The 23114-nt window shown below is 37.1% G+C and overlaps 1 long non-coding RNA gene across 1 annotated transcript in view; it reads left to right on the forward strand.

Annotated features, from left to right (window-relative positions):
• The window catches only part of LINC01122 (long intergenic non-protein coding RNA 1122), a 543014-nt gene that overhangs the window by 471732 nt on the left and 48168 nt on the right, over positions 1-23114 (forward strand). Inside the window, exons 7-8 of the long non-coding RNA NR_033873.1 lie at positions 11465-11543; positions 21846-21914. This is a non-coding gene — a long non-coding RNA (long intergenic non-protein coding RNA 1122). The remainder of the gene's footprint in view (positions 1-11464; positions 11544-21845; positions 21915-23114) is intronic.

Below are 23114 nucleotides of genomic sequence, written 5' to 3' on the forward strand. Positions count from 1 at the left end.
AAGCTTTCCCACTGCACAAATGATGCTAATGCCCTTGATTGACATGACACAGCACTCTAAACCATTTGCCTCCAGTGAATTCATCAAGCAAGAATGTCTGAAAGCAGAGTAACTCCTCTGTTTAAACACTTAAATGCACAGCAAATAACTGCTCGCCTTTTTTTCTTCACTAGTCTGCTGTCTCATGGAGCAGTGTATTATTACAGATAATCTACAATGAATAAAGGACAAAGCATTCTGTATTCAAAATATACACACGCATTTGCCAAGTTTACTGAACCTGTGATTTTTCAAAATAAAAGATACAATATTTATTTCAAAAATGATATAATTAAGAGGGGCTTACTACAGAGCAGCAACTACACAATGCTATATAACCAAACCATAACACCAATAAACAGGTTTTGCAGACAGACACCTATTGTCAGTAAGATTAGTTGAACTCAAAATAATGCCAGGAAACCTCTTTCATGCTTCAACAGAACATAATTTGTTTCAAGTAATGATGACTAGTTATGTATAATTATCTGATTATTGGGGAAAAAACTTGCCTAAACAACTTTGGTGTGCTGCATTATAAGGTTTCATTTAGTCTCTGAATTATTTAATGTTTATGTAGTTCTGAGACAAACTGCACAATTCAAAATCAATTAAAACATTTGCCCAGATCCCCCATAACTTGTAAATTGGCATGACATGGTAGGATACATATTAAGTTGGAAGTTTTTTTGGAAACTAGTAGAGGCTTCAAAAACTAATGAGGTTTTCCAGAAGAGAATAGTTTATAAATCATCAGTCAATAAAAATGATTCATGAAATTATATCAATTTTAATATAAAACAGCATAATTCTTATCTCATGTAGGTAGACTTTTAAGATGTATGAGAAAGTGAATTGCTTATACCATGTAAATGAAAATAATCATTCAGTGTCTAGCACAGTCTTTCAAATCAGGAAAAATATTTAGATTCATACACACAAAATTTTTAGTCATTGTTATTCTTCCAGGTTACTTGGAAACACAATGAATGAAACTAATGTTATTTTCTATTCGACTGGCATAAATTAACTTTGCTTCTTGGAACAATTTATTTTGAATACTTGCCCAATGAGTTAAAATGCTGAATATTTTTTCTTCCTAGGTGACGTCCTAGTCCCCTATGGTGGGAAGAAGGAAAGAACTTAATCTTCCCATTTATCAGGGAAAAAAAGGATTGTTATTATATTTAAACAATTTCCTTTTATTTTTCTTTTTCTTTTTTTTTAGTGATAAGGTCTCGCTCTGTCGACCAGGCTGGAGTGTAGTGTCATCATCAAAGCTCACTGCAGACTCGACCCCCTGTTCCTCTTCAGCCTTCTGAGAAGCTAGGACTACAGGCACATGCCATCATGCTCAGCCTTTTTTTTTTTTTTTTTTCTTGAGACAGAGTCTCGCTCTGTCCCCCAGGCTGCAGTGCAGTTGTGCGATCTCGGCTCACTGCAACTTCCGCCTCCTGGATTCACACCATTCGCCTGCCTCAGCCTCCAGAGTAGCTGGGACTACAGGCGCACACCGCCACACCCACCTAATTTTTTGTATTAGCTGGGTTTCACCATGTTAGCCTGGATGGTCTTGATCTGGTGATCCGCCTACCTTGGCCTCCCAAAGTGCTGGGATTACAGGCATGAACCACTGCGTCCAGGCCATTTTTTTAAGGTAATCTTTTTGCAGACAGAGGGTCTCGCTATGTTGCTCCGGCTAAACTTAAACTCCTGGCCTCAAGAGATCCTCCCAAAGTGCTGGGATTATAGGTGTCAGTCACCACACCTGGACTATTTCTATATTATGTAAATTTAAGATAAATGTATAATGATTTGGAGCTTAGATTATCATCTCCTTGCATTGACATTATTATCAGTTGATAGTATTAGGAATGCTTTTGCAGCAAGTAACATAAAATACTATTTATCTGACTTAGGCAAAGAGACACTTCTTTTTCTCATGTCATAAGGAGCTCAGAGATAGGCAGGCAGCTGATGACATTAGTTCCATGACTCAATCATGTTGGAGTTAATATCAGTTGAATTGTTCTTGGCCTTTTCCTGATGAGTCCACGATTACTGCCTCATCTCTTGACATTGTGTACATGTCAAGGTGAGGAAGAAGGAAGGAGACTGAGATGCCAGCATTGCCCATTGCTTTTAATAGAGAAGGAAAAACTTTCCCCAAATCTACCCCTGCAGCAGAATTTCTTTTCACTGCAGTCAGAAAGATGTTCACCTGGCTAACTCTAGTTGCAAGGGTGGAAGTGAAAATTAGAGGTTGTTTTTTCTTTATCACGAAGATGGGCAAGGGAGAAAAAGATTGGACTAATTTAAGAACAACTTGTTTTATACTGATGTTATCTAATATTCTAATTATAAAAGAGTGATTCAGCTGATCACTTATACACATGAGAAAGTGAGAATACTATTTCCCTGTCTACCTCTCAGAACTGTGTGAAGGTTAAATGAGATAATATACATAAAATTGCTCTATAAACTATTAAGAACTGAAAATAATTTAGATTGTCAGTGTTGATATGGGAACACAGCTTCAAAGATAGTATGCAATGACACCCTTATATTAATCACTTCAATTTAGCCTTCCCATTTCCAGAAACTCAACCTGCAGGCCTATAAACACAGCTGTATACAATTTCTGACATAGAGCTGCCTTAAGATACTCACAATAAGTGCAGAAAGAAAAGACAGCAATAAAACCAATTAGAAATAAGGTACTATACAGGAATAAAGATGATGTAATATAATTTTTAATGGGCATCCTGTAGAAAACTTCTAGAAGAATCCAGAAAAATTTCACAGTGTAAAAGTGGAAAATTTCCCTGAAATTAAGCAAAATAACTGATTAAGTTTAAAGATATGATGTTCCAGGAAAAAAAAAACTGATAAAAATTTAGCCTGTTTAAAATATTAAACTTCTAGTAATTTTTTAAAAAAGATTTTATTTTAGTCATTTCTGCACGCAATAAAAGCAAGTAAACTATTACATAAAAAAAAAAATGAGGCCAGCCTAAGATCTCACCAGCAGCACTTAGTTTCAAAAGACTGTAGAACAATGTGTACGAAGTCCTGCTATTAGAAAAGCGTGGCCCAAGATTCTTATAACCCAGGTATAAAAACTAAAACTAGATATTCTTAAGCACACAAGAACTTGGGAAGTAGATCTATAAGCCCATCTTGAAATGAAGAGATTTATGAAAGTGAGTACTGGGCAACAAAGAGAAGAACCAAAATAAATATCTCAAGAATGGAGAAATAATTGGAAGTGACTGTTTAGGTAAATACAATCCTCAGCTAATATTGGAAATTCAGTTTTGAAGACTAAGTTTAAATGCTATATGCCTTGATGACATAAAAATAATACAATGACAGTGGGATTTTTTTTTTGTCTATTTCTAAGGGGAAGTCAAACCTTTCTAAATTTGGATCTCATTCTAAAAACATAACTTCAAACACCTATTATTTTGATGACATTTTATTTTTAGACTTAGATATATATTTTTAAAATTGTAATACAGCATTAAAAATATTTATTTAGTATTCAGAAAATTCTTCAGTTTGTCCACACAATTTAATTATAAAGATTGGTGCAAAAGTCATTGCAGGTTTTGCCATTACTTTAATGACATATACAACTAATTTAGTAGTTTTTTAATTAAAAGAGCATGTAGATTAGCATCTTATTTTAATAAAATGATTTTATATATGTGTGTGTACATGTATATGTATATATACATATAAATATGTATCTTTTGTTGTAAACAGACTAATGCATCCCCAAAGATGTCACATCGTCATCTCCAGAATATATAAATAAGTTATAATACATGGCAAATGGGAATTAAGGTTGCAAATAGAATTATAGTTGCTGCTAATCAGCTAACTTTAAGTTAGATATTCTGGACTGCCTGGTCAGGCCCATTATAATCACGAGAGTCCTTAAAAATGGAAGAGGGAAGCAGATGGTTAGAGTGATGCAACCTGAGAAGGTTTGAACTACACGCGCCCGCTTTAAGGTCAGGAAAGTGGCCACAAACTGAGGAAGGTGTGCAGCTGAAAGTACTAATTTCTCCCCTAAAGCTTCCAGGAAGGAAGCGGACAGCTTAGTTTCAGCCTCCTGGGATTTATAGCCTACAGAACTATAAAATAATATTTTTGTGTTGTTTTAAGCCATTTAGTTTGTGGTGATTTGTTACAGCAGCAATTGGAAACTAGTGTGTATTTCAATATGTTTATATGCAAATAAACATATAAGAATGATGTCCCATTACAGTTAAGGATGGCTAGTTTAGAGTGGCGGGATTTACACAGTTTTAAACATGATTCCTGTGCTTTTCTGCATGCTTTTAAAAATAAATTAATATACTATTTCTATTAGGAATTTACACGAAATATATACATTTCTCTGAGAAGCTCAGTAGAAAAAAAACACTTGCTTTACTTCGTTTAATTTAGAGTTTTCCAAATATATTTAAATGTAATGTAAAAGAGGCCAAATTCTTTACATCTTATTAGAAGGTGGAATTTCAAGAAACATGTCTACACTGAATAATTGATATCCAGTACTGTCCAGGTGATAAGTATTTTATTCATCCTGATTACTCAGAAGTTTAGATGTGATCCATGTGTGGTACACTTAATTATCAGAGTTGGATACACTCACTGTTCTTAGTAGAAGAATCATATAACACAAAGGTATGTGTGTGAGAGAGAGAGAGAGAGAGAGGTAGAGAGAGAGAGCGAGATCTAAGCTTAAGTAATTTATTCCCCCAGTTATCAGTAAGAAAGGAGAAAGGTTTTATGGCACCTAGCTAATGGTCAGTTTTTATAGCAGTTATGTAAATGTGACTAACAAGTGAATTTTTCAACTTTGATTTGAAGCTGTGGATATTAGGTAAATTCCATCCAGCGTTAGATAGAATGTTAGCTAAAAACCCAAAAGATAATCCATCCATACTGGAGAGAGTTTCCATAGGTCCTTTAATTGCCTCTTCTTCAAACACTTTAGCTGTCCTTTGGAATTCATGCTGGTGTAGAAATAAAAGCAGGTGATTGTAGTCTGATAAATGCATGCATCTAAAAACGAAGATAAATCAGTTTTCTTTGGGTGTGATGTTTGGTTTAGCTCTACCATCTTTTAACACCTAGATAGGGATATAGATTTGCATTCTTATTTAAGAAATAAAGTCAGGCCAAGAGTGATGGCTCATGCCTGTAATACCAGCACTTTGAGAGGCCAAGATGGGAGGATTGCTTGAGTCCAAAAGTTCGAGACCAGCCTGCATCTCTACAAAAAAAAAAAAAAAAAAAAAAAATGAAAAAATGAGCTGGGTGGGGTAACACATGCCTGTAGTCCCAGCTACATGGGAGGCTCAGGTAGGAGGATCATTGAGCGAAGGGAGGTCGAGGCTGCAGTGAGCCAAGATTGCTCCACTGCACTCCAGCCTGAGTGACAAAGTGAGACCTTGTCTCAAAAATAAAAATAAAAGAAGTCAACAGGGAGTGAAAGTTTTCATTAATTACCCAATAGTATTTACCTAATTCTTTGGAAATTCATTTAAGGACCGTAGGCTAATGGGGGAAAATAAGGAATTTGGCAGAATTTTTGCTGCTCTGGAAAGGAGAGTGGTGGTGGCTAGTAAAACTTTTCTAAAACTAAAATATCTATCTCATAGCACTTGAACTCAAGAAAGAAAAATACTGAATTGGTTGAATTTAGAATTTTTTTTCAAAAGAATTACTTATTGCAAATAAGCAAATGGTACTCCGTGAAAAATTTTAAGTCAAGTTCTCTTTTTCCTGTGATTCCAGAAAAATTATTTACTTTCTCTCCTTCCTTCATTTCCCCTTTCTTTTTTTTTTCCTCTCTTTTAAACATTTTAGCAGTAAGGCAGTGTATTGCTAGTGTTGTTGAAGTTAAGTAAAAACTGAACACAGGATATTTCTATTTTTGTAAAGAGTAAAAAAAATATAAAAATGATAATAAATGCTTACAAAAATAGTTTTCTTTTCCTTGCTGAGTGCTATTATGTCTTTCTTCTTTGCTTTGACTTTTCTCATGCCCATCCCATCCTCACCCTTGCAAGCAAATATAATTCTTATATGTTCTTTTGGCAAAATACCTACTCAAAGAAGAAAATTCCTACTTTTTGTGGATGCTTTTAATAGGTACTGATATGGTTTGGCTGTGTCCCCACACAAATCTCATCATTATAGGAACTACAGTTCCTATAATCCCCAGGTGTGGGAGGGACCAGGTGGAGATAATTCAAGCATGGGGGCAGTTTCCCCCATCCTGTTCTTGTGATAGTGAGTTAGTTCTCATGAGATCCTATGGTTTTATAAGGGGCTTCCCCCTTCACTGGGCACTCATTCTCTCTCCTGCTATCCTGTGAAGAGGTGCCATCTGCCATGATTGTAAGTTTCCCGAGGCCTCCCTAGCCATGAGGAACTGTGAGTCAATTAAACCTCTTTCCTTTATAAATTACCCAGTCTTGGGTATTTCTTCATAGCAACTTGAGAACAAACTAATTCAGGTGGTTAGATTTGACATCACAGTTTCCAAAGTCTAAAAGGGTATAGTAACTTGGATGAAAAACATATTTACAGGATTCAGAAAAAATATAATATGCAGAAGCTAAAGGGCTGGATTTTCTTGGTTGGGAAAATATATTTTATGCAATTCCCGAGTTGAAGTAAAGACAAATGAATGTCCCCATGATGTAATCACTGAGTTGAAAAACCAGGTGATCTTAGCCTTCAAATTCCCTTTTAGCACAGTAAGTTTTAATTTTTTTTTAATATCTTGGTTAGTAGATGGGTCAATATTTAAATGGTCATTCATCATTTACCATATAAAAGAAAAGCTATGACCTGAAACTGATTTTTACAGTTGCAGACAAACAGAAATAATCATTTTCGAGACCCTAAAGCTGTTACTTGAAGAATGTCATCATTTTATCCTTATTTTACTTATTATTTACTTATATATAAGCCAGTTTTTGAGAGCTGCACCCTGCAAGTCCTGGCTGTAAACAGTTTCTTCCAATTCTCTACTACAGCAAGTGAGGAGAAGAAATAGGACTTTCTCGAAATCAAAGTTATATTTCTGACAGACTCAAAGAATGAGGCCAAACTCACAAAGCCAGCCATAGCAGTCCTGGTTCCCATGATGGGCCAAGCTCCTGTATTCATGATAGGTAGTTGGGTGACTACTAAAGTGTCTGAGAGTAAGTGCAACACTTATTCTTAGGATAGTCCTTGTTCTTTCAGACATTCCAAGAATTATTCCAAATATGTAGACTTAACTTTTGTAAACATTTGCTACCTTTTTTATTAAATGACATTTGTTGGAATGAAGAAAAAGGTAATAATACACTAGTTGGGCAGTGGTCTTCATGAAAATTGATGAGTGACTTGACAAGACATAAAAAATTATTAGAAGAGACATCCTAGTGATTGAGAAAGAGTGGAAAAGCTCTAGAGTCACCTAGAACTGGTTTAAGTCTTCCCTCTGCTAAGTAACAGTGTGGATGCAAGCAATGTTTCAAACTTTTTCTGGCCATATTCTTCTTATGGTCAGAAACACACACACAAAATAACATTTGTGTCAGAACAGATGTGAGCATAAAATAAAAACATATATAAGATGCCCACTAAATTGGCTATGTAATAGGAGTGCAATAAATGTTAATTCACTCCTGGTTAATCACTCCCAGACCCAGTAATTCTCTTTGACTGTGTCAGAGCAACCTCCCCTACTATGGATATCCTTGGAATGTAATTCCAGGCCAAATGTAATTCAGTCGTATACTAAACCAGGTGGAATACGTATAACAGGCATCATTTTAGATCCATACCCCCTTCTCTTCTTCCCTCCTATAAGAACAACTGTTGGGTTGCCAACTATGTATCAGGTACCGTGCCAAATCCTTATATATTTTATTTCCTTTAGTTATTATAACTGCAATGAGGTAGTAGATATTATTCTAAGTTACCACAGAGGGGACTAAAATTCTGAGAAATTACGTAGCTCAAAGTTAATCAGCTACTAGTTGACAATTCTGTAGCCACATCTTTTCCCCCTCCCTCAGTTTACCTCCAAGTTCTGTGATGTCAGAGAGGTTTCTGAGATACGTAAATTGGCCTGAGTACTCACCATGACAAATGACTCAACACATGAGCAAAAATAAGAGCTTTGTGATTGTTCTGAAACCACTGGATAATGGCAACACACGCAATTTTTAGTTGCTCTGCGCTTGCTGGTTGATGGCACTGCACTGGGTTCCAGGGCTGCCATGACATAATATGCCAGGAAACAGGAGAACTGCCATCACTTATCAAATAGTGCATAGGGAGATGGTGGGAGAAACAAAACTACAACCAGGAACAAGGGCTAAACTGAAAGACACAGATACTGTAAGGCCAAGAATGTGGATGTGGTTTTTAGTAATTTCCTTCCCCTGCTGTGCGTCTGTATTTATGTTCACTTTTCCACCACCTCTTTTGGGTTTCCAGGAAATATGACTGGGAAGATATGGATGCCAAAAGCACATCGTTTATTAAAGCTTCTGTCCAGAACCCTAATATGGTCCTGGTCTCTAACCAGCAGAGGCAGACAGTGTAGAAACCACCAGGAGCCCTCAAGTTCCTTTTCTTTGAAGTCTAGAACTGAGTTAGGCTTAAACAGCCATCTCTTTTCCCACGGTCTTCCTGTACCTCATAAAATCCTCCAAATCCATAGCATAGCTCTGATCCAAGGAGAGAGGAAAGGACATAGTTGGATTTAAAGATTTTTTTAAGGCTTTTACGTTCCCCTCCAAATGCTGAAGTTTTAAGCTCCTGTAATTTCCTTGTAAATTGTTAACAGACCCTTCCTCATGGTACAGTAGGCATTTAATGGCCAATGGAAGACCATTTGATCACAAAATACAGACAAAAAATAGTTGCACTTTTAAAATCAATTGCTTTGGAAAATAGAGAATGAGAAAAAAGTTACAATGAAATAATTGGTAACTGTATTAGTCTGTTCTCATGCTGCTGATAAAGACATGCCTGAGACTGGATAATTCATGAAGAAAAAGAGGTTTAATGGACTCACAATTCCACATGGCTGGGAAGGCCTCACAATCATGGCAGAAGGCAAGGAGGAGAAAAGTCACAACTTACATGGCAGCAGGCAAGAAAGAATGAGAGCCAAGCGAAAGGGGAAACCCATTATAAAACCATCAGATCTCATGAGACTTATTCAATACCATGAGCACAGTATGGGAGAAATTGACCCCATGATTCAATTATCTTCTACCAGGTCCCTCCCACAACACATAGGAATTATGGGAACTACAATTCAAGATGAGATTTCTGTAGGGACACAGCCAAACCATATCAGTAACTTATAAAAGCAACTTTGTATTTTATGTTTTTTGCTTTTTTGTTTGTTTTTGAGACAAGGTCTCTCTCTGTTACCCAGGCTGGAGGGCAGTGATGTGATCTCAGCTCACTGCAGCCTCGACCTCCCAGGCTCAAGTGATCCTCCCACCTCAGCCACCTGAGTAGCTGGGACTATGGGTGCATGCCACCACACCTGGCTAGTCTGTATATTTTTTTGTAGAGATGAGGTTTCACCATGTTGCCCAGGCTGAACTTTTTAATTATCAGAAGAACATCTGTGTACACTTGAAAAATAGATAGTGATACATCTTCTCAGGGTACTTATTTATTCAACCTCCAGGGAATTTTTGGTGTGTTTAATGGGATTTATGGGCCCCTTGAAGTCATTTTGTAGCATTCCCACAAAAGAAAGCCCCAGCTACAGATTGAATCCCTAATCTTGGTAATGGGAAGCTACTAAGGATTTTAATGACATATACAAGGTGATGTCTCAGGGAGACTGACTGACAAATCATTGGAGACATAAGGGATTAACTGTAAGGAGATTGATGATTACTGTATCCAAAGTATAAGATTTTGAGGTCCAAACCTAGGTAGTGGCAGTAGAAACAAATATTAGTTGATAGATATAAAGAATATTTAAAGTTTAGAAACTTTTTTTAACCTGGATATTAGAAGAAAATGAGAGATTCCAGAATCTTAAGTCCTAGTGGTTGGGAGATTGACGGTCAAACACAGTTGGCTTTGGGAAAAAGATAAATTCAATCTTAGCTATCTTGAAATAATGGTGATATACTCACCAGTGTGTGTGTGCAGGGGAGGGAAATGTTAAATAGGCAATTAGAAATATGTGAATGAAGTTCAAAAGATCGTGACTATGACTAGAGGTTATGAAATCATTTCTGTAGAAGTGATTGAAACAACAAGAAATCAAGAATGTACTCTCCAAGATAAAGATTGAAGAGCTGCCACAGTTGAAGAAGGATCTAGAGTCAACCAGAATTAGCCAACATTTTCTGTAAAAAGCCAGAGAATAAACATTTCAGGCTTTGTGTTCTAAAGGTCACTGCTGCAACTAATTAACCACGCCATTGTATCCCAAAAGCAGCTGTAGACAATATTTAAATGAATTGGCATGGCTGTGTTCCAAGAAAAATCTATTTACAATAATAGGTGATGAGCTGGATTTGGCCTGGAGGCTTTAGTTTGTTGACTTCTAGTCTAGAAACTTAAGCTCCATAAGGGCAAGGATCATGTGTGCCTGATTCTCTGCTGTACCCCCAGCACCTAGAACAACACCTGGTTTGCAGTAGGGTCTCAATAGACATTTGCTGAATTGATGAATACTGTGGTGGAATGACTATGTCCATATTTAGCTTTGTTGGAGCAACAAAGAAAACCAAGAGCATAGTAAGAGTTATGAAGATAATTAAGATCCTATGACATAGATGAAATTAAGAAAAAAGTGTATCAACACAAAAAGGTCTAGCAACAATGATGACTTAAAGAGATGTTGAGGAATGAAGAGTTATAAAAAGTCACTTTTTTGACAATTAGTTGTAAGTCAGATATTTAGGTATAAAAGACCAGAATAAGAGACCACAGGAATGTTATCAAAGACAGATATATATACACAAAATAGCCTGGGGGTTGGGGTGAAAGTTGTTTTGTGGAGTCTGCATGATTTAATAGTTACTTCCCTTAACATTTTTAAGTTTTTAATCAAAAAGATTTTTTTCAAGTATAATTCAAAATCTGTTAATTAGATTCTTATAAATCTAACATGAATTTTTAAACTGTTTGAGGGAGAATCACACTTGTTTTCAACATTATGTAAATAAAATAACCAGCCTGAGTAATTTTTTAAATAGTTGTGTTGATATTTGTCAAGTATTCTTTTAACTTTTTCTCCTAAATATATGAGCTTAACTTTTGTGAATTTCCAACTTCACTTTATGAAGTTGATATCAAGCATTGGATTTAAATATTTTCTTTTTATTATTGGTTTCCAACATTTACTTTTTCCTTCCAGATTATCTCACACAGAGCGTTGGAATTACTTCATGATGATTTCAAAGAAAATTTTCTTCTCTAAACACTCTTATCCCAAGGTAAATTGATGCATTTCTAATGAATAAATTCTGGGAGGAAAACATCAGCATTTTTATACTTCATTTCAGAGTATTTAATTCCCTCACCCTTAACTGTAGAACTGTAGCCACCTGTCATTCTAAGTTTATGCAGTCATTTATAACAATGGGAAACTATTATTTTTTGTACAATGTTGACCACCTTTGTGTCATTTGATACCTAGTGTGTTTAGTTTGTTATGCCTATGCAAGTGAGAGAAAAACACTACCATAAACATGTCTAATCATGTCATTGAAGCTTTTCTTGGAATAATTGGAGTGTGATGATGGAGCAGGGAGAAAGGAGGGGATGGAAATTGAGGAAAAGGGTCTCAGCCTGAATTTTCCAAATTGGCTATTTATCTGGTTAATTCTTCATCTTTCCTCATCACCATGTCTGAATTGAGAAAATCTTCCTAATGATAATAAACTATGTCAAGAACAGATGGCTGATTTGATGTGATGAAAATAGCTATGTCAATTGAGGGTATTTTTTTCCTCACCCGTTTTGCTTTTCATCACTCTGGGGTTGGTGGTTCATATATTTTTTTTCTTTTACAGAATATGCCCTCAGCCCAATATAATGTGGTGAATCTTTCCCCAAAAGCAGTTTGGGCCTTTATCTCTGAAAGAAAGAATGAAGAAGTGGCTTAAAAAAAAAGTGATTATCACCTTTCCTGCCTTTTCAGCTTTAGTTAAGTTACTTTTGGAAGGATCAGTTTACAACAAATGTTTAGTGTCAGGAATTTTACAGTTTCATAGGCCCTGACAGCTTGGCATGAAAAGAGGTGGCATTATGTCAATTTTAAATGAGTATGCCATTTACATACTAATTAAACTTTGCACTAGTGGGGTGAAAGAATGTCATTTTGAGCACCCCAGTTATTCTGTTTATATCATTGTTGTCTATTTAAACCATCTATTGTTTGGCATGTCACAGCCTCATCCCCTAAATGCCATTTTATGACCTCATACTACTTAAAAAATATTACCCCACTGCTTGACAAATCACACAGAATCAGTGTATCTAAAAGCAAAGGGGATTCCTTGGATCACCTTGCATCATTATCACACCTAGTTCGATGGTGATGATAGTAACAATTAGCTTTTATTAATTACTCCTAAATGTCAGGCATTTCACTAAACTATTTTTAATATCTTAATTCACTTAATTTAAAAAATAAGTTGGGAATGCCTATTACAACCTTTTTGCACATGGAGAAATTGGGGTTGCACAGTGTGTGGGTGAGCTCTTATTCACTATACTCTGTTGCCTTCTGCTTTACTGTGTCCATTGATCCACAGAAGGTCCCACTGTGGTCAGATGTGGATAGGGTTACCAAAAATATACCAAGCATAGGAATTTTACTCACTATCTCAACCCATTTACTTCAGGGAGAAAATGATAAACATGAAAGAGCAGTTGCATATTACATGATATACTATTCATTGGTTATGTGATTAATGTATCACTAATACAGGCTCATATAACATACATATTTCCCATCACTTTTCAGTTGCATCTTATTAGTTGCAGTCTTCCCTGGTCTGTTGATGATGTTTTTACATAGAATTCCATGTGTTCTCTGTGAACTTGATTCAGGAATACTGATAGTGTCTGTTAGCTTATAAAATGAAAAGTGATTAATACTTTTTTGGGCTATTTTATCCTCTTGATTCACATCCACAAATTCGGTTTATTGGATTTGGTTAAGGACATTTTTTCTCACTGTATAAGGAGCAGAATCAACATTAATATCACACCTGTGTGGGAGTTGGCCTAACAAGATTGGCAGTGACAGGAGTAAGATCAGAACTTTTCCTGGCTGGGCGTGGTGGGAGGAACCCACCATCCTTCTGGGTATTTATACACCAGTGCTGAGAGCCTGGAGTTGGCATTTCTTGGCATTGTCAACAGAGTGCTGGTCTGCACTTCTTTCTTTTTTAAAAAAATGACAGAAACAGAAAGCCTAGATAGTTGACATTGAAATAACTTGCCAAGAGAGGGTTGAACATATGATCCCTTTATAGCTTTTTCCTCACTATTTTCTGCAGTCTTCAAGGTTGAAATACTTCCATGATAGAGTCAAAATCCAGGGGAAGAAAAGGAAGAAAATATACTTTAGCTCTCCATAATTCCAACCACCATATCGCATTTCATGAAATGTGACATAGTTTTGCTCCACAAGCTTGCCAAGGGGAAAAATATATATCTAAATTTTAAGCTGATAACTCGAATGGTTCCAGAGATATCAACTTGTGAAAAGTCACAATTTTGCATTGTGCTGAAAAGCCACCTTACAATACAGGGACTACCATCACTCTTTAATATCCAGCAGAGTCCCCCGCTGTGCTTTGTCAGTCAGTAGCAACATCCAAGTCTTCCCGTAAAAGTAATTCACACTTTTTTCACAACACTGTTGCTTTAATTACCACTGAACTCTGCTGATGCTCAGGCAGGCCTGGCAGGACCAAGGGAGGGTCAGAGCCACAAAAGAAGCAAATAGCTTTTTTCCCTCCTTACTTTATTATTAACAAACCATCTTTGATGGAAATGTTCCTAGTTCTGAGGCCTAGACTTAACTCTGGGCCCCCTTGGCGTATTCATTATCAAAAGAGACTCACAGATGCCATTCTGAGAGAGAAACACAAACACACACACACACACACACACACGGGGCGGAGAGAGAGAGAGAGAGAAATAGTACCTACAATCCTAATTAGAAATTAGAAATTTTGGCAAAGAACAAATATAGCAATTCAAAACTGATAAACAATGATTCTGCTTCTTATACAGCTTTTCTTTTCTGCAAATGAACTTACATTTCATACTGTATAGTTCTGCTGGATGAACGTCAATTTATCTGTTTATTTATTGTGGATTTTTCTTCAGGATTAGTTGACACAATAAATTATATATCAAAGGAACCACAGAACTGACAAAATCTACCAGTGCATAAAAGTGATACGAAAAGCCTATGGTTTATAAATAATATGACAGCAATATTATAGGTATAACATCTTGTGTGCATAAGGCACCTTTCATTCCATATCACAAAATGTTTCTTCACTGAAACTATTCCTGTGAAATGAACTTCTGAAGTCTCCTTCACGCAAAATAGGAAGGGGCCCATCAGGAACTTCATATACACTTTTGGGGAAGAATTAAATAATGTTGTGAACTTAGGGAAAGAAACTGAAGGACTGCTAAGCTTTCTCCTGACTCTAAATTCCATGTTTTAAAAAATTATAATTTAAAGTTACACTGTAGGCTTGTCTATGTATCATCAAGTACTTAATGCTGCTATTATTTATTATTTACTGACTTATAATCTGACTTACCACAAATGTGCAGCATTTAGCTGGAAAGTGTGGTGCTGTGATAAGTTAATTAATATAAGTGAAATAATCATCGGATTCTATTGCAGACCATTTGATTCTTATAAGTCCCCTATGATTTGGTCCTAATCTTTCTTACAGACATCTTTATTTCCATCTGCATATATCCTATACCTCAGTGGTTTCAAAATCTGATTGATTATCAAAATGTCCTGGGGGAGAGGAATTTAATAACTTAAAATACTCTAGAAGTAGGGTGTAGAATCTGTAGTTCTAAAGGGGCCTTGGAGTTTTAGATAATGTACTAGGTTTGGTCAATTTCTTGAATCAAACTTTTTCCTTACTTTTGGTGCTTGTCTCTCAGCATCTTCTGTGGAAATCTTACTAAACTTCCCAGTCTTAGTTCTAATACTCCACACCCCAGGCAGCATTTACTGTTTCTTCAGCCAGTAGTAGCCTCTGCCTTCTCAAAACCCTGATAGTACTAAATACCTTCCCTAAGACTTAAACCTTCTATGCCAAGTTGCCATTTTCTATATTTTCTTTCTCTTTTCTCATATATTTATCTATAAATATAAGCTCCTTCAGGGTACAAGTTAAAACATTCTATCTTGAAACCACATTGTGTAAAAAAGATGCACTTATGCATCTGTGTAATGAATGCATGGATTTCATTTTCTATGGCATGTAAGACTGCACATGAAGTGGAAATGACTAACTCATGTTCATATCTTCATTTGTGTGACATAGACACAGTGCAGCAGACTGAATTTTCCAAAGATTGCTGCGCTGGTATATATTCTATCCCACGTTCTTAAAATGTTGGCACAAGTGTTGAGAATCCTCCATTAAGAGTGGTGTTTATATTCTTTCACCGTAAACCCAGGCAGATTTTTTATAACTGCCTCAACCAAAGATAATGTGGTGGAAGTGCCCCTCAGTGACTTCTGGTGGTAGATTACAAAACTGGTAACACAGCTTCCTCCTAGATTTCTCCCTTGGGAGTCAGTACTGATGGGTAACAAGTCTGGCTACCTTGGAGCCTCCTCGCTGGAGAGACCACACAAAGTGATAAGGGAGCTCCAGTGCTTCTAGTACCCAGCAATTTGGTTAAGACCTCAAACGTCATGGAGCAGAGAGAAGCCATCCCAACTCTGCCGTAATGTTAAGGCACAGGATCTATGAACATGACAGGTGACCATTTTATGCCACTACATTTTGCGTTAGTTACTCAGAAGTAGTAATCGGTACACCTAACTTTAGTCACTAGAGACCCCAAATAAGCAAGATAAACAATATTTCGGCTCTTATACAGCTTCTATTCTTTGCTAAAAATAAATAAGATTGAAACCTTTCATCTTGTTAATTAAAACTGTTCTATTTTTTAAATGGCTTTATTGAGGTGTAATTGACGTATAATAAACAACCCATATTTAAAGTATGCACTTTGATAAATTTTTACATATTTACGCACCTGTGAAACCATGACCACAGTGATGAAAATGAACGTATTCATTATCCACAGGGACTCTCCTGTCTCTTTGCAATCCTTCACTGCATGCATGCAGCCACTGTGCAGCTTCATGTCACTTTAGATTCATTTGCATTTTCTAGAATTTTATATGATGTGAAATCACATGTATGTATTCATTTGTTTCTCTTAGAATGATTATTTTCAGATTCATTTATTTGTTGCAGATATCAGTAGTTATTCCTTTTTATTACTGAGCACTATTCCATTGTATGGATATACCACATTTTATTTACCCATTTGAATTGTTTCCAATTTTTAGCTATTACAGATATAACTGTTGCTCTGAACATCATGTACAAATCTTTATGTGGACATGCACTTTTATTTCTTGAGTAAATGCCTAGGAGAAGAATGGCTTCCTCTGTGCACTGTAGCCCAAAAATTCTCTCAAGGAAGTAAGGTGGGACAATGTTAGGGCTTACCTGACTTGTTTACCACTTATAAGATACCACTCTCTTCTGTCACTTAATTGGACAATGGTCTGAAAACTGTAGGTCTCTGTGTGTGTGTGTATTGTGTGTATTCATATAATACACATGTATTTATGTATATGAATATATGAATATGAATATATACATTCATATATTCTCTCTTTACTTGTTCAGGTGGGAGGGTAAATATAGTCCCTATTACTCTACCTTGGTACTTTCTCATTTTTTAATTCCCTTTTAGGTTAAGGTCTTATTAAGAGGCAGAAGAATATTTGCCCCCTCCTTGTGTCTTCCAGAAATATGCTTTACAAATGCAAATGGGCATTATTGTCATTAAGTAGAAGGCTTCTGAAGTCACAATATCACAATGCCTGGTTTTAACTCAGGATTCTGCTACTTATTAGCAGTAAAATGTTGGATAAGTTACTTAGCTTCGCCAAGCCTCAGTTTTCTCGTCTTCATAATGACATCGATAACAGCAGCAACAGTAATAATAATACCCATTTCATAAGACTGGTAGAAGGTTAGAAGAGAAATCATGAAAAGTACCAAGCCAAGTGTCTGGAACATCATAAACTTTCAATAACATGCTATTGATTGTTATTGGTTTAATTTTAGGAGAAGCTATCTGCACAATAAGAAATCGTGTCCAACCCTTGGATTAAAAAAGCATGGCAAATAGCTTTAATACCATTGTATGAAACACTTAGTAATAAAGGTGATTCCTCACACACTCTGAATAAAGTCTCTGGGTTTCATTCCCTTTTCTAAATCCCATCACTAGAGAATTGACATTCTGCAACCTTTACACACAAAAGCTTCAAGAAATTCAGTCAAATCATGTCAGAGATCTGGGAAAAGAACTTAAAGTTCGGTCAACAGAAATGATCCTCTCAGAGAAACTTGTTCTATCCACTAGGGCTGAAGGAGCGTAGATGTGATGTGGAGCCTAATGCACTTTGTAGAGTGAGTTTGCAGAGGGAAGCTCTCTGTTTTGAACAGAGAGAGTTTTCTGATGGAGTGAGCTCTATAGCTAGGTGAGTAGACTGAGGCGGATAACTAGCTAGCTTCTAGGGTTCAATTTGCTGATGCATTCAACTTTTAATTAGGACAATATTGAATAGCTAGTTAAACTCTGTGTCTGTGTGTGCACGTGTGTGTATGTATTTGTGCAGGCAATGGAGAAATCAGGTGAAGGGGGGTCTCAAAATTTTTCCTTTCCTTTATGGCAGTTTGAATCTATTTGGAGACGCTGGACTGAATGAGAGTTTTAAAAAAAGCTTTTAGCTGCTCAAAAATGTAAAAGATGAACATTAAAAATCCTAGCCCCTTTTTAGGGACTCTTATTAGCAACCTAACCATGCCTAACACAAGGCTTCCATGTGCCTCAATGTGAATGGGGCCACCTGAGGAGGCTGTGTAATGCTATGGGCCAAGTGGAGCACCAAGGAGGAGCTTTGGTGCCAAAACAGGATCTATGGATTATAAAAAGGCATTTTTTTACGCTACTCTGTGCAGTACCATTTTACAGTTAGGCAAAAGCTGTCCTTGCCTTAAGCCCTGTGCTTTTCTGGGCCCATTTTTTTTTCTTTTCTTTTCTGGGCTTTTTCAGTCCTCCTTAAGGGGTAGGGTATCCAAAGAACCAACAGACTTTCTCACCTGAATCCTGGACATTTGCCCCCTTGTAGGTCATGCTCTAAACATAATAGATCCCCAAATTCCCTGCCTATGTGGCCCCAAACCCACCGTAGGGCCTGTGTAGTTCCATCTTCTTAGGGATGGACTTTACCAATGGCCTCTGCTCCCCTGAACCCTGGTGTCAACTGACCATGGAGATGTGGAAAAATATATCCGCACATGTGAGGACCCTCACAGTGGAGGGATGGGAAAAACAGGAGGTGGGTGGGAGGCTGAGGTTTGGTTTTCCTCTTCTGTCAGTTCCAGCATCAAACTTCAAGGATCCCAAAGATTCTAAGTTGAAACTTAGACTTCCAGGTTGTTATTACAGCCTATTAATCAAGACAGAGGGCTAGACCTTATTTTAGTCAACAGTTTGCTAGCTTTATTTATAATGAAAATATTTCAACCTACATTTATGTGGACCTCCCTTTGTATTCTTTCTCCAGGCCCTTCAAATGTTAAGGGTAATCATTACTTTGTGACTTTATCCCAAGTAGATTCTTCCTGCTCTCTCTTGCCCATCTCCCTCACGTACAATGGGAATATAAAACAAGAGTCAGAGGGATAAAGCAGTGATGAATCAGGTAAATTCTTTTGTCCTAAGGTGTCCACTTTATGATCTACTGTGTAACTGCCACTTCTGCAGTTTTCACAGACAATGTAATGAAAAGCAACCTGATACTTTCCTCCTTGGCATCTTCAGAGGAGATGGGCAGCAATGTGTTTCTTAAGTCTGGAAATCTCTGGGTCTCTAGTTACTCTCAGTGTATCCTTTACCCTCTTCACAAACTCTTTAAAATTCTGAGGCTGTTCCATGGGTGCCTGTTTTTGATATGCTTCTCAGAGATATCACATGGTCTTAACAAATTCTATGACTAAATTATCCAGGTGTGGTGGTACACACCTGTGGTCACAGCTACTTGAGAGGTTGAGGTGGGAGAATCACTTGAGCCCAGGAGGTTGAGACTGTAGTGAGCTGTGATTGAGCCACTGCACCCCAGCCTGAGTGACAGAGCAAGATCCTGTCTCAACAACAACAAAAATTCTAACACTATTTTCCTTATTTCTCCTATATTTAAGTCCTGGTGAGCTTGTTACCTTTGATGTTATACCCGCCATCAACATTTGGTGAGAAGGGAGGGTTTCTCCCCAGAAATATTGACTTTCTTCTTTTCTACCTTTTTAACACTTATTCTTTCTTCAGTTTGCAGCTTAAGATTTATGTCTTCCCAATGAACACGTCTATAAGGTCGTAGGAAAGAAGTTAAGTGTGGAGTCATATAGAGATAGAACTGGATTTCAATTCAATACTTTGTGACTTACTATGTTATCTTGCACAGGTCACTCAAACTTTCTGAGACTTGGTCAATCAGTAAATGGGTATTAGGCAACTGTTTCCAAATTCTGTTGGGAGGATTAGATGATGTCATTGACGGAAAGCATCTGGTGTGTTTTTAGATAGATCTCATCTCGTGTTGACTCCCAGATCAACATAAGTACTTCTTCCTGTATGTGTCCATCACACCTATCACAAACCCCAGATAGCTGGAACAATAACATAAGGACACCAGGCCATAAACATAATCTAATGCATTTGAGCGAGAGCTACCAGTTTTATTCAGCTGCATTTTAGGGGACAGTCAGAAAATGTTCTAGTGAGGTGGGCTAAAACCAAGTTGGGACAGGCATTTTAAATTAAATGAAGAAATTTGACCTACTGTTATGTCTTAGAATTCCTCAAGTAGATATGTGAGTTTTCCATCTTCTTTAGATAAAATGTAATTAAACATCTTAAAGCACCTCAGCTTAATGTACACAGAATGGTGACATGTTGCCAAAGAAAGCTTTGGGACTTTGTTGCCTACAACTACGCGACAGCTTAGTAACCAAAGCATGCTTGCTATTACATCAATGATAAGTTCTGAATAAATTAGCTACGTCCAACATGGCATAATGCTTTGGATCATGCAAGTGAGACTATCATATTCCTAATTATCATTTTCCCCCAAACTAGACAAACTGTTTTATAGGATTTTTCTTACTGCTTGTGTTTCAAAATGAAATTCTTACCAATTTGGGATACTAATGATTTAGCCATGTACCAAGTTGGAGTTTCTCCAGTGTGCATGTGCTCCTTATGAAAATGAAGAAGGCAAGCTGCCAATCAAAAGACTAGTTGCAGGTTGCAGGCAAAGACCAGATTGGTGATAATTGCTGGCATGGTGCCTAGCACAGTGTCCCATACACAAACATGCTCAGAAAATGCTACTGGGTCCAGTCAAGGCTTCCATATTCCAACTAAGAGCCCTCCCTTGAACACGTAACATTTGTTCAACCTAGAGTTGGAAGGAAGGCAGCGGTATGGACAATCTCCAATTAGCCAGAAGATTTTAATCTACTTTGCAGAACTAATCGAATGGTTGTGCTTCCCCAGTGTTCACGTGAATTGCACCCTAGCTGGAAGTTAACAGACTAAACAATAGCAGCAGCAATTAAGTGGATATAAATGAATGTGATAGGCTAATTCTCACAAGGAGAACATCAATGTGTCAGTGTCAGTGCACTGCTGCCCGGAATAAAGAAGGAATTGACTGGGATGAAGAAGGTAGCAATGAACAAGATGTAGCAATCTTGTAAGGACATATATTCCTCAACTAGATTAGTTTGGAAATTCTTTGGATATAAGCAGAAGGAATAAAAATAAGTAATGATAGCAGTTCTCTTCTACATATCCTCTTGTGGGAGGAAAAGAAAGAAAATACCACACTTTCACATAAATACATTCAAGGTATTATACCTATGGTGTACCTTAACTATGAAATAGATTGTTGGATATGGAATAGGGTAAAACACAAATCTACTTACAATGAGGAGAAGGACATTTTCATGACCTGGGAAGCTGAGAATTCAAAAGAGGACAAACTTCCTTGGCCTTTTTCATATTTGAAAATGGGAACTGATTGACAGAATAGAAGGCTATAAAAGCTTATTGCTGCTGGGTTTCAGCAGAGTCTAGAAAGACAGAAGAAAATATGGCGCAATAGGAAAACTTGAGTTTTTGCTTAAGTTCTTTCCTTTGGCACTTCGATACTTTAGGGAAATCTCAGCATCTGTAGACTGGGGTGTGAGACTTGGAGAGAATGTGAAATTTGTAAAGATTATTTTACATGCTGCCCCAGAAAATTCCTTTTGTTTAAAGCATCTGAGAACATTGTCTGATTTCATTTTTAGCTCTTTTGAAAGAGAAGAATCTGATGAATGCAATGGGTTCAGCCTGACACCCTGCCTTCTGTTTTTCAGGGCATCCTAAAGTTCCTCTGGAATGCATTGGGTGGGAGAGAAAGTTCTATGTCAACTCTTCTGGCAGAGGTGAGTCTAAATCTACCTTTCCTCATAAATCTGCAGAGGACATCCCTGAATGTGTTGACTCTCTGGTCCATGCTGAACATATCATAAATGGGCCTGATTACTATCATAACACATTGCCTGTCAAAAATCAAAGGATGGAATAAGAGAGTAAATCAGATGCATAAAGGAAGAAAGACAATCATAATGTCATAATACACTGTATGGTATATACAGTATTTTATTGAAGAATAGTTTCCCAATGGGCAACTGAGACATTAGAGTAAACCGGAAGTTAATCAAGATTAATAGATTGGTAGAATAAGAGAATGAAAAAAAACCCATCTATTATCTGGAAAAGAAAGGTGGGTACATACAGAGTCTTTTTAGAGTATGTTCAGATGATTTAAAAAAGCATAGTCAGAAATAAAAGTATTGTGTGAATATGAAGAATATTAATTATCATCATACCAACATGTTATATAAGCCATTACTGAAATTAAGCTATACATGAATAAATGGCATGCATAGTTTTGGTTCTTCACCTTTCTATAACTTTTTAAAATTGTTTGACAGAAACCTATAAGTTTTTGTATCTGCCAAGATCAAGCCTATGACTTTGGCTGCTTATATAAATAAATTTTATCGGGAAAAGGTTGTACATGAACAATTGAATTATCAGAAGGAAATATAAATCTAAGTTCAGTTAAATTAGTTGTATTGATGCAGGATTTTTCTTGATCACTTTGCCAGCTGGAGACTTTTGGCTGATGATGCCCCTGACCGGGCTTCGCTTAGCCCCAGGCCTGCCACAGGAGGTGTGCCACTCACTTGGCCCACCAGGCCGTGCCTGGCTTGCACACTGGCTCAGCCCACAGCTGGCTTGGGCATGCCCCAGTCCACCTGTGTTACAGCTCATACTCATGTTCGGCGTTTCCCGAGTTCTTGTCCTGTGTCCAAGAAGAATGAGGTTATGCTGACAATCAAAGGGTGAGGAGGGCAGAGACAAGTTTTATTGAGTGATAAAACAGCTCTCAGCAGAGAGAGGATGTGAGGGTGGTCCCCCACCTGAAGTCAAGTGGTGCCTCTTTCAGTGTCACTGGGTCCTGGACTTTTATGGGGTCAGAATGAGGGAGTGCATGCTGACTGGTTTGTGAATACGCAAAAAATGCTGAAACAAAGGCACCACTCAAAGGTGGGCATGACAGTGTAAAACACCAATTA

This window comes from Homo sapiens, chromosome 2 (genome assembly GCF_000001405.40).
Source record: "Homo sapiens chromosome 2, GRCh38.p14 Primary Assembly".
Classification (NCBI taxonomy): domain Eukaryota; kingdom Metazoa; phylum Chordata; class Mammalia; order Primates; family Hominidae; genus Homo; species Homo sapiens.